This window comes from Homo sapiens, chromosome 17 (assembly GCF_000001405.40).
Source record: "Homo sapiens chromosome 17, GRCh38.p14 Primary Assembly".
Taxonomy (NCBI): Eukaryota; Metazoa; Chordata; class Mammalia; order Primates; family Hominidae; genus Homo; species Homo sapiens.
The window spans coordinates 34,193,943-34,207,154 of record NC_000017.11 but is presented as its reverse complement, the minus strand read 5'-3'; the positions used below and the strand labels follow the sequence as shown (position 1 = coordinate 34,207,154).

Here is a 13,212-nt window from a genome sequence, read left to right as displayed (position 1 = left end):
AATGAGGATGTTCTGGAATTAAACAGTGGTGGTCATTGCATGACATTGTAAATATACTAAAACCACTGAACTGTACACTTTAAAGGGATGAATATTATGGCATAGTATAAATTATATCTCAATTTTATAATGCTATGATATAATAGATGAATATTACTTGGCATACAAGTGATACACAGCAACTTTTTATTTTCTTGCTTTCTTATTCCACTGTGTTCCTTCAAAGCTTGGTCTGGAATACTTGCCTCTGCAAGTTCCTGCCAGAGAGATAAGTTTATTGGGCTGGGAATTCAAGTTTATCATTGTGTCCAATCTCAATTCCCTGAAGGCCTGATGCTTGGCCTCAGGCTCACTTTCATGATTTAGAGGCAAATCTCAGATTATCTGAGCAAGAAATCACTAAAATATTCTGTGAATTTTTCCCGCCCCTCAACTAGCAGGTTTGAGGATACTATGCCCAAGGCAGGTGTGATGTGCCTGGGCCAGACGCAGAACCACACTCCTGCGTGGCCCCTGAGCTCCTGCATTCCACTGTTCTGGGTCCCTTTCTTCTTCTGCTTCCTGCTTCCCCTTCCAGCATCACTCTTGGCTCTGTCAAGAAGTGGTGTAGGTGATGTGGCCTGAAGCCAAATGATGCTGGGAGGGTCAGTGAGGTCCATGTCTTTGAAAATGTATGTGCAGCGGTAAAAAATAAAAAACAAAAAACTGCTACTGCAAACAAACTGCAGCCACTTTCTAGCTCACTGGATGAGGAAGGAAGCATGTTATTCCATTTGGAAAAACACTTTCAGGGCCCCTGCTGTTCAGCAGTTTCAGATCTCAAGGCCTCATGAGGAAGGGGAGGGTGAGAAATAAAGAGGTCATTTCTGGGGGTAAGAAAGTGGAAGGACAACTTCCTTGCTTGAGGTTACTTTTGGGTGAGTGGCATTTTGGTTTCTATTAAAGGGCGTAAGTGCTGGAGTGGGTCCCAAGGGAAGGAAGAGATGGCAGAGGCTGAGTGCAGTGGCTCATGCCTGTAATCCTAGCACTTTGGGAGGCTGAGTCGGGTGGATCACCTGAGGTCAGGAGTTCGAGACCAGCCTGGCCAACATGGTGAAACTGTGTCTCTACTATAAGTACAAAAATTAGCCAGGTGTGGTGGCGGGCACCTGAAATCCCAGCTACTTTGGAGGCTGAGGCAGGAGAATCGCTTAAACCCCAAGGGATGGAGGTTGTAGTGAGCCGAGATCACATCACTTCACTGCAGCCTGGGCAAAAGAGCAAGACTCTGTCTCAAAAAAAAAAAAAAAAAGAAAGAGATGGCAGAAGGGGCTCTGTTCCTAGGGCAGGTTGGGGTTTAAGGTGACCATTGACTCAAGAATGGAACCTGGTATTTAACATTCAGCTGTTTTCTCTCCCACATGGCAATTGCTGAAACCTTCATGATACAAGTGACATCACCCAACCTTGAGTTAGCTTTGCAGTAGGGAAGGCCCAGGAGGAAGGTGGTGGAAATGTTGGGTTCAAGTCTGGCTTGCAGAAGTGTTCAGAGGTGAGAGGGAAAGCTCAGAGTAGCCTTTCTGACTCAGAAGTGAAAAAAGCCACAAAGAATGTAATACCTTGGGAATCCTAGGGCATCCTGGAGGTGGCCGACTATTATCATTAGTGTGATGGCAGATGGGAAAGGAAAGGCATTCCCAGAAGGCTGCAGGACTTGGGAGCCCTAGAGCACTGATGGGTACTGGTTCTCCCAGAACTGCAGAGGCTACCCAGGGAGAATTCAGTGTGCCGAGGGGAATGAGGGCATGCAGTAGAGGAGAAAGGGCACAGACAGAAGCTTGGGAGCCTGGTTTGTGTGTTTAACAAGAGCATTGAACATCACTGTCACATGGTACAACTTCAGTAGGTGCTGGCTACATTTGAACAGAGGAGCTAAGGCTGTAATGGTGAGATGACACGCCAAGTGGGGCTAGGGTCACAGCAAGAGACTGCCAAAGTGGGAGGGAGGCCACCTGCTGAGGAGGATAAGAGGCATTCTTCTATCAGGGAAGCACTAACTATGGGACATCAGGGGTGCTAGGTGTCAGGTAGGTAAAGGCCACTCAATGTCAGGGCTCAGTTGCACATCATAACGTGGATGGCACTCAGTGCCAGGCATGGGGAGAAGGCTTAGTCTCAAGCATGGACTCATGCTCCGGCGATGGGGAGGACTCCGTGCACGCGGGTGCTAGAGAGAGGAGCTAAGTCCCAAGGATGCCTAAATCTCGGGGAGGGAGCTTGCAAAGTCAAACTTATGGGGGACCTTAGTGACAGGGATAGTGGGAGATGACACTCAGGGCCAGGGATGGCCTGGAACGGTCTTCCATGGGGGGCTCAGGACTCTCGTGATCTGGCCTCATGCTCCCACCTGGTCTTCATCCGCCCATCTGCTGCAATGGCCTCTCCTCCCTAGCTGAGCTGCTTGTCAGGAGCAGGCCCCTGCTTAAGGCAGGGCCAGGCCGCATGCAAGGACATACAGCAAGAATGACATACAGCAAGAAGCCTTGCAGGGCAGGGCAGCCCCCAGGCTGCAGCTCCTGACTGTTGATGCCACCTCTCCCCACCCCAGGGCCGAGCTGGTGGCTGGCCAGGTTGGAGCAGAGGACAGTAGCAGGGAGCCCACAGTGTGACCCCACTGGGCTCCAGCCCAGCATGCTTTCCCTTCTCTAGCTGTCCAACTTCTCCAGGAGCTGGTGAAAGCAGGTGTGGTGGCATGAGGCCGTGGGCTCTGTTCTCCTAATTTTGGACTTCCAGGTACTGGAGGTGGTAGAGCAGGTGGAGCAGGTTGAGCAGACTTCCAGCTGATGGAGTCTGTCATCAGCTCCAATGGGGTTGCAGCAACAGACCTTCAGTGGGAACAGAAAAGACTTTGAGACATCTCATCCAGCTTTACTCTTTACAAATAGAGAAATGGAGGCCCTCAAATAATGTGCCCAAGGTCACTCAGGAAGTTGGCATCCTGGCTCCAGTTCCTTGTCTTCTTACACAGTGCATGCCTCCCAAACATGATGATTTCAAATCATGCAATAGGGTCAACAGGCTCTGGCTCTGCCATGCATTAACCAGGTGACTTTGGAAAGGCCGTTAATTTCCCCAAACCTCAAGGTCCTCATCTGTAATATGGACATAATCCAATCAGTGTTACCAGTCTTATTAGACTCAATAGGAGGTCACCATCTCCAGCTCTTGTTCTCCACATGCATAACAAAGATCTTAGCTTTCTGAAATAGTCCCCAGGCACAATCAGACCCAGTGGGGCTCTCATGTGCTGCCAACACTCAAACAGACACATCCATTTATGCCAGGCTCTGCCTCTGCTCTGAGAAGGCTAGTGGCATTCTGTTGGGGATCACTGGTGCCACTGCTCCTGGTATGTTGAATGCCATGATGTACAGTTGTTTCTGAGGAAGAGGGCATGCATCTTCCCTCTTTGTGTGAGGCTTGTCCAAAGAAGCAGTGTCCAGGCAGTGTGGCTCTACCTCAATGCCTCACAGAATTCTTAGTAAAATGATTCTTTTAGTTTTTATTTGGAGTCCCCCAGGGGCTCATAAGTCATAGATCCTTAGGAGCTCAGTCAGAGATTTCTTGGAATGACAGACACCAGACTCTGCTAAGCACGCCAGAGAAGGTGGTGCTCACCAGACCCCACTCTGCTCCTTGACACCTTCCAGCTGCCCTTGCATTAATTGGGTCCATGTGACTAGTTCCAATCCGTGGCTAGAAGTGATATCACTTCCCGTTAAAGCCCAGGACACTTAGTTCTTTCTTGCCTTGACTCAGCAACTGGTGACATCCCAGATGCTGGGTCCCTGATGGAATATGAAAAACAGAGTCCTTGCCCAGAAAGGTGCTTTGGATGAGTGAGAAAGGAACATTTATGTTAAAAACTGCTGAAGTCTGGGGATAGCTTGTTACTGCAGCACAACCTAGCCTATCCTGACCAATGCATCAAAACAGTTTGCCTTCCCTAACCAAGAAGTCCTTGCTTGATTAATCTCACTGAGCAAGGTTTCTTCTTCCCTTCAAATGTGGTCTTTTTAGAAGATGGCTCAGTGCCACAACTATCAGCCTTCTTGTATACATTACCCACGGGTTTGTCATAGGTGACCACACCTGTCAGAGCCTCATTCAGACAAGGGCTAAGCTCTCCATCACTACAATGCCATCACTTTCCTCCCTGCAGCCACTGTCTTCCAAGTCTCTTCTCTCAATGACAGATTCCACCCTGGACTCTGATCTTCTGGAGCTCTGAAAGCTGAAGAGTACAGAGCCGTGTATGTGGAAGTTTTCCCTAAATTCTCATGAGCTTCAAACTCTCACGAGCCAGTGGCTTTGTTTCCAGTTTTCTTCCATGCAGACCTGATACCTCCCATTCTTTCCCCCCATGCTGCCACCTCTTCCTGCAGTAGCTCCAACATGCGTGACAGCGCTAGTAGCTAACTCCGCGGGGTGGTGCTGCTGCTATGCCATGGCTATTTCTGCTTTAGACAGGACTCTGCTTGCTTCTGGGGAAATCTCTTCGGAGCTTGCCCTGCAGGACAGCAATTATTCTATGCCTGAGAAGATAAGCCAGATAAATCTGCAACCACATCCAACCACACCAAAAGAGCTGCAGGCAGTTTCTACTTGCTTTTAGGAGTGCTTTCTCTCCAATTATTCCAGGTCTTCCTGAGCGCCTCCAGTGTGGCAGCAAGGTATTTATGCCCTCCCTGCCTTTCAAGGAAGAGATGATGGAGGTGTTTAGCATTGGCACCACTGCTGCCCTTCTCTGATGGCTTCTCTCTCCTGAGGGCCACTGTGATTCCCATCAGCCTCTTAAAAGAATAAACACTATCAAGTATTTATTACTATAGCCTCTGAATTCACAAGCCAGGCATGGTCCTCAGCTTTCCACACTTCTAACACTGAGAATGCCTCTCTAATTATTCGTTTAGAGACATTGCCTATTTTGAGCACAGTGGCATCTTTCAGGGAAGAGCCCTAAATGTTTTCCAACCTGATAGATGTCTCAGATGAGGTTAAATATCTCTTAGACTTAGGTTGGATTTTGCATGACCCATGATATAAAGGCAGTCGAGCATAGTGGTTAAGAAAGCGAGCTTTGGTGTTAGGTTGTGGGAGTTTGAAACTCAGCTTTTTTGGTTTTAGTCAGGTAACCTTGAGAAACATGTTTAACCTCACTGTGTCTCATTTTAGTCATTTATAAACCAGAGATGATAACTGCACAGATCTTTCAGGGCTCTACGGAGAATTAGCTGTCATAACGTAGGCTAAATACTAAGTACTTGACACATAGGAAACATTCCACATGGACTAGGTCCCTTCTTCTTGCCCCTGCAGGCTCCCCAGTTCCATTCCTTTTTGCACAGGCTTGCCTATGTTAATTTCCTAGGAACTGGCTTCCTCTTGCCACTCTCTTTCTATGCACTTTGAATGGCTTCCAGCCATTCATAAGCCATCAGTTTAAGAGATACAAAAAGGCTCTCATCTGAGCCCTCAAGACCTTCCACAATATGCCCCCAACCAACCCCTCCAGTTGTATTTTCAGCTATTCCTCCCAAGACCCTCCCTCTGGCCTAGCTGACCTCTCTATTCTCACTAAACCTCTTCACTCAGGCCAAGACTGTATCCTGACTTCTTTCTCCATCTCTTCAAGCCTTACTCACCCTCTAAGTCTCAGTGGAAGACCTCCCCTCCTACAGGAAGTCCTCCCTGACTAGACAGAAATTCTGCGCCATCCACATGGTAATTAGTCACCAGCAGAAGTATCTCTCTGCAGTTTTGCTTTTGCTTGCTTTTGCATGTGATCTTCCCCTCAGTATGAAAGCTCTTTGAAGAAAGGCTCTGTGTTTTCATAATTAAGGCTTGGCATTCAGTAGGTACTCAATAAAGGCTGGCTGGCTAGATGGGTGAAGAAGCATGGGTCTTAGAAGACTCCTATGGGTTGGACAGGGATGACAGTAAATCTCTGAATGCCCCTGGGACTTCTCAGGGACACAGAGGAGGGAGAAGCTATTCTTTACTACCCCTGGGAGTTTGTGTGGAGCTGTGGGAAATGAACCGGCACACTTTCGTTAGCTGAGTGTGTGCTAAAGCCCCCTCCGCCTTTTCCTCAAGGCTCGTCAAAGTGGTCACTTGGTAGCTAGTTCTGCAGTGAAGGATTAAGGTTCAGGGTCAGACCCTGAACTCCAGTGGCAGCTGCAGCTTTTACTAATGATGTGAACTTTACAAGTTCATTAACCTATCAGTGTCTCAGTGTCACTGCCTACCTTTAAAATGGCGATAACCAGGCTAGGCACAATGGCTGACACCTGTAGCCCTAGCTACTCTGGAGGCTGAGGTGGGAGGATTGCTTGAGCCTGGAAGTTTGAGGATGCAGTGACCTATGGTCGCACCACTGCACTCCAGAGTGGGTGACAGAGTAACACTGTTTCAAAAACACAATAAATAAATAAATAAATAAATAAATAAAATAAATAGGGATAACAACTGTTCCTACCTCAACTCGTTGTGAAGATTACATGAGCTAATGCACATGAGCAGTTAGAACACTGCTGCAGTGAACACCAATACATAACCTCTGTATGGATCATTTTGGTCTATAGGTTTGGACAGGATGACATGGAAAGAAAAAGCAGACTCAAACTCCATCGCTATCACTTCTAGATCCGTGATTAGGAACATGTTCTCCTTCTCTGAAGCTTTGTTTACTTGTCTTTACAACAAAGAAAATCATACCCATGATAAAGGATGGGCATGGAAATGAAATACTGTTTATTAAGCATGGATATTACATTAAGTATAATTACATGTTGCCTATTAAGCATGGAGAACAGTGCCCGTCATATATGGGGATCATGGGTATGTTCTTATTCTTTTCCATTTAAGTCTCCCTTTTCTGCCTGGCGGAGTGGCTGGGCTGAGATTGTGGTAACCGTAGGAAAGAGAGGGGAAAATGCAACTTCGTGTAGAGGTTAGTGTGGGTCTGCTGTCACCTGCTGGATTAAGTAGGTAAAGACATTGCCAGGTGCTCTCTGCTGCCACCTTATGGTGAAAGAGGTTTCTAGCAGAAGAGCATATTTGTCTAGTCCTGCTTGTGTTCTGTTCCTCCTCACACCCCTCCAACAATGCGTGCTCTCCCGACCTACCTTCTCTCAAACTCTACCTGGGGAGCACTTACCAAGTGCCAGATATTGTATAGACTGCGATTAAAAGATTAATGAGACAGAGGCTCTGGCACTGACAAGCAGTGCTCACTCTTTAAGGGACCTAAGAAATATGTGGAGAACTTTATTATTTTTTAAAATCACATTTATTCACATACAATTTATTTTCACACAACAAAACGCATGCTCTTTAAATGTACACATTGATAAGTTTTGACAACTGTATATGCACGTGGAACCACCGCCCCAGTCAAAATATTGAACGTTTCTGTTATCCCACAAAGTTTTCTCATGGCGCTTGGTAGTCAATCTTCACCACTTCCTACCTACCCCAGGCAATCCTTGATCTGACTTCTCTTGCTATAGTTTGTTTTGCCCTTTCAAGGACTTTATATAAACGGAAGTGTACAGTATACACTCTTTTGTGTCTAGCTTCTCTAGCACAACAAATTGTTTTTGAAATTTATCCATGCTTTTGTAGGTATCCGCAGTTTGTTTTCTTCTATTGTTAAGTGGTATTTCAGTGAATAAATACATAATTCATTTATCCATCCTCTTGATAGATTTTTTGACTGTTTCCAGATTTATGCTGTGGTGCAAAAAACTGCAGGCACGTTTGTGTATAAGTCTTTGGGTGAACTTTGTGAGTCCTTTGTGTGGTTTTTATTTATCTTGGGCGAATTTCCAGAAGTAAAATTGATGGGTCGCAGGTAGATGCATGTTTAACTGTGTAAGAAACTGACAAACATTTTTCCAAAGTAATTATGCCATTTACGTACCTACTACAAGAATTCCGATTGTCCACATGCTCACCAGAGCTTGCTAGTTTTCTTTGTTTAACTTTTAGCTATTTTAATGTATGAAGTTACATCACATCGTGGTTTGAACTTGCAATTTGTTGATGATTAGCAATGCTGATCATTTTTTCAGGTGCTTATTGATCATCTGTGTGTCTTTTTAGGAAGTGGCTATTAGAGTTATTTTGCCCTCTTTAGTATTGACTTGTAAGAATTCCTTTTATATTTTGAATATAAGTCATTTGTCAGATGTATGTATTTTCTCCATCGTGTGGCATGTCTTTTCAATTTCACATTAGTGTCTTCAAAGGGAAGTTTTCAGTGTTGTTAAGGTCCAATGTAGCAACTTCTTTTTCTTGTCTTTTCTTTTCCCTCCCTCCCTTTCTTTCCTTTCTCTGTCTTTCCCTTTCTCCTTCCTTCCTTCTCCTCCTCTTTTCTTTCTTTCTTTCTTTTTTCTCCTTCCTCCCTCCCTGCCTTCCTTCCTTCCTTCCTTCCTTTCTGTTTCTTCTTTCTTCTTTCTTTCTTTCTCTTTTTCTTTCTTTTTCTTTTTTCTTTCTTTCTTTCTTTTCTCTTTCTTTCTTTTCTTTCTTTTCTCTCTCTCTCTGTTTCTTTCTTTCTTTTTTCTTCTTTCCTCCTTTCCTCTCCTGTCCTCTCCTCTTCTCATTAGTGTTTTTTATGTCTTCTTCAGGAAATATTTGTCTAACTAAGGTTGCAAAGATACTCTCCTGTGTTTTCTTTTAAAAACTTTACATGGTCAAGTGTCACTTAATGACAGGAATACATTCTGAGAAATGGATTGTTAGGCAATTTCATCATTGTTCAAATGTCATAGAGTGTATTTACACAAACCTAGATGGTATAGCCTACTGCTACACCCTCTTGCTCCTAGGCTACAAACCATACAGCGTGTTACTGTGCTGAATACTGTAGGCAGTTATAACACAGCAGAAAGTATTTATGTATATAAACGTATCTAGACATTAAAAAAGTACAGTAAAAATACAATATTATAATTTTATGGGACCATTATGGTATATTCAATGCATGACTGTAATTGTGATTTAAATTTTTACTTAATGATGTACAGTGTAAGGTATGATGTGAGGCTTTTGTTTTGTTTTGTTTTCAAATATATATCCATTGAGCCAGCACCATTTATTGAAAAGACTATCTTTTTTCATTGAATTACCTTCAACAGAGTCAACTGAGCATACATATATGGGTCTATTTCTGAATTCTGTTCTATTTCATTGATATATTTTACTATGTCCATGCCACTTTGTGTCTTGATTTCTGTAATTTTATAGTAACCCCTGAATCAGTTTGAAAGTATCTAACTTTATTCTTCTTTCATAATTATTTTGACTATTGTAGGTCCTTTGCATTTTCAAATGAATTATATAGCTTATCAGTTTCTATAAAAAGATCAGCTGGGATTTTCACTGTATTGCTTTGAACTGGTAAATTGACGGAATTGATATTTAAGCTTCTATTCCATGAACATGGTATAGCTTTCCAATTATTTATGTTTTCTTTAATTTCTCCTAAAGTTTTAAGTGTAGATATCTTGTACATATTTTGTAAAATTCATCCTTAAGAATTTTATACCCTTAGATGCTATTGTAAATGATATTCCTTATCATTTTTTATTTTGTCACTAGTAAACATAATTAAAATAGATTTTTGTATATTGATCTTGTATGCTGAATCCTTGCTAAATTCCCCTATTAGTTCTCATATTTTAGATTCCTTTAGGATTTTATACGTTAAAGATTATGCTATTTATGAGCAAGGACAGCTTTTTTTCTTCCTGTACAATCTGTATACCTTTTATTTCTTTATCTTGTGTTATTATGCTGGCTAGGATAGCCAGTGCACTACATTATGGAAGTGGTTACAGCAGATACCCTGTTTTGGTACCAGTCTTTGATAGAAAGTATTTACTGTATTACTATTATGTATTTTGTTACCTGCAGATTTTAAAATTATTGACTTTTATCAGACTGAGAACATTATTTTTTGTTCTTCATTTACTGGTACATTTGTTTTCAATCATGGATTAATGTTGAATTCATCAAACAATCTTTTCTGCATATTTTGAGATAATCATTACATGATTTTTCTCCTTTTTTGGTTCATGTGGAGAATTATATTAATTTACTTTTAAGTGTCAAAACATCCTTACATTTCTAGGATAAACCTTACTTGGTTGTGATATGTTTTTCATATATTGCTGGTTTCAATTTGCTTTTATTTTTCAAGAATTTTTGTGTCTATATGAGTAATATTGGTCTATAATTCTCATTGCTTGTAGTCTTCTTGACAGGCTTTGTTATAAAGGTCTTGCTGCAGTTATGAGATGAGCTAAGAAGTGTTTCCTTGTTCTTTCTTTCCTGAAAGAATTTGAGATATACCGTTATAGAAGGGCAAGCTGTGGACTAGGAAGATTCTTAACCTTGTAACTTTGGACAATTAAACTCTAGGATTTTGGTTTCTTATCTGTAAAGTGTGGTTGATATTGTCTACGTAGCCTGGTTGTGGTGAAGAATGGATGAAGTGATGCCTGAAAAACTGCCTAGCAGTGCTCTTAGTAGGCCCTTGACATATGGGAGGTGTTTTGATAATTAACATGATTACTAGTACATCACTAGCGGGGACTAGAAATCTAGCACGAGATGATTCTCAAGGTCCTTTCTGCTACAAAATTCCAACATTCTTTTCTTTCAAAGAGCTAACTATTGAACAATTGCAGAGCTTTAAGAATTGATTTTAACTGTTATCTTATGTGATCCCTCAGTAGCCTCCAGAAGGTGCCACCATTGATGTAATTTCTTCCTTTAACAGATGAGGAAACTGAGGTTGGTGAGTTGGGCAATTTGCCAGGGGCAACATGGCGGATTGGTTGCTATCACTCATTGTGAAGTCAGAGTTACAGGCAAGGGAGCAACAGGGCTGAGGAGATACCTGTTCTCCCAGTTTCACGGCCAGTACAAGGCCATTCTTACACTGCTCGGGGGAGCCCCTCAGGAGAAGACACATTTAAGAGTTTCCAGCAAGAAGAGTCAGGTCATGCAGTCAGCTGCTTTCTCAGCCCAGCTGTGGGAATGTAAACAAGTTTCTAACCTCATTGAATCTTAGGTTCCCTGTTTGGAAACAGATGAGATCCACAACAGCCATTATCTTATTGGATGGTTGTTGTATGGCAGGGGCTGTACTGAAGAGTCACACACATTACTTAGTCTTCCCAACAATCCTGCAAGGTAAGTATATCAGCCACAGGTGAGAAAAGTGAGGCTTAAGGAGATTAAATAATTTATCTAAGGTCAAGAAAGATCCATATCCAAGATTGAAACCTAGGAATAACTGACTCTTCTTTCCATGTTAAAACTGATCAAATTGTACACTTTAAATATATGCAGTTGATTGTAAGTCAGGCATGCCTCAATAAAGCTGTTTTTTTTTTTTAAGCATCATCCAGAATCAGATATAAAGATTAAAGAGAGGAACAACAACAAAACAATAATTATACTCATGTGACTATATGTGTACCAAAAATAATCTGGCTCTACACTTAGGATTCGAGAATTTTAATGCATGTAAAATATGCCTGAATAAACTACTGCTACTAAAAAAACAGTAATTAGACCTAAACCCATAATTCTCAAATGTCACCTGGATCTCTTATTGGCAGAAAAATCACACTAGACTTCATCAAGAGTAAATCACTCTCTCAAATCCTGCTCAGCCTTAAAATGCATTTTTTTCTTATTACAAAAGCAATATAGCCATGGCTCTGATACAACAACATTTTAGACTTTGGTGTATTTCTTTTTACTACTTTTTAGTAACTAAATGTTTAGATGTATATATACATTAAATATATACATCTCTATATATACACATATCACACATATATATGTGTGTATTCCACATATATAAAATTAAATGTTTTTATAAAATATAAAAATAAATATAAAAACAAAAATACAAAAAAATACAGCCATGGCTCTGATACGACACTTTACACTTTAGTGTATTTCTTTTTACTATTTTTTAAACGTTTTTTGTTTATTTAGATGTATATATACATCTATATATATACACCCATGCATATATATGTGTGTGCATGTGTGTGTCTATATACACACATATACAGACACACATATAATTGTATATAGCACATGTGGAGTTTTAAAACATAGGATATTACCCTACAAATTATTTTATAATCTACTTTTAACACTTATGGAGTATTGGAATATATCATGAAAGGCTTACTATGCCAATGAATGGTCATCTAGTAGAATAACAGTTTTACAATTGCGTTCTGTGATGCCTTGAGGCTCTTGGTAGATGCTTCAGGTGTTGGGGACCAGAGTAGGGGAGAATATAAAGGTCAGGTGAAAGGCAGGAAGAGGGCAAGCAGTTGGGGTCTGTATCTGTCAATCTCATTCAACAGAGCTCCTTTTATTTGTTCAAAGATTCAGTTCTCGTGTAACATAGCATTTAAAAAAGGAATTCCATCACCAAAAATAAAATAAAAACGGAAATCAAGATCTATAACATTTTTCTCATTTCTGCTTAATTTCTTTTCAAAATGAAAATAGCTTTATTGTTTTATACTTGTAAAAGTGACAGCTACACATTTTTCAAGATTCAAATAATCCAAAATTATAGAATAAAACATTGAAAGTCACCCATTAATCTCATCACTCCTTAGACAATTTGGAGTGTATGTGTGTATCAAAATATACTGTACATGTATCGTGTCCTGTCTTTTTTCCTTAACACAGCCCATTTTCCCATGTCATTAGTTGACTTTTAAAACATGACTCTTGATGATTTATTATTTGTGTTATTTTATTAAGCATATTAATAGAAAAAAATACAAGTCAACCTTAAAGTTTAAGGAGAATTGGGGTTTTTTTTCTAAAATGTGTCACTTTAATACATTGAATATTCATGTAAACATTGCAAATGGAACATTCTGCATGTAAACAACTCCCCCAGGTTTTAAAATCTCAGGGTGGCAGATCGTCATGCCGAGAAGGGCTTCTTAAAACTTTTCCACTGAAATCTCCCTAACGGCAAAGGAGGGTGTGATCCTGAATCCCCAAAGGTCTGGGGGAAGTTCTGGTGGCCTCTTCTGGACCCTAATGGTCTTCAGCATTTTTTGTTTGTCTTTAAATTTAACTTTTCCATCCCGTGGCTATTTAACTCATCTCCTCTTC

General features: G+C 41.3%; 2 annotated features.

The window, feature by feature from the left end:
• Nucleotides 2,046–2,545: an enhancer, noted in NCBI's record as "H3K4me1 hESC enhancer chr17:32531629-32532128 (GRCh37/hg19 assembly coordinates)". NCBI's record gives its function as "activates a minimal SCP1, AML or CMV promoter by ChIP-STARR-seq in primed H9 embryonic stem cells {active_cell/tissue: H9 hESC(primed)}" and the evidence as "EXISTENCE:reporter gene assay evidence [ECO:0000049][PMID:30033119]".
• Nucleotides 2,546–3,047: an enhancer, noted in NCBI's record as "H3K4me1 hESC enhancer chr17:32531127-32531628 (GRCh37/hg19 assembly coordinates)". NCBI's record gives its function as "activates a minimal SCP1, AML or CMV promoter by ChIP-STARR-seq in naive and primed H9 embryonic stem cells {active_cell/tissue: H9 hESC(naive and primed)}" and the evidence as "EXISTENCE:reporter gene assay evidence [ECO:0000049][PMID:30033119]".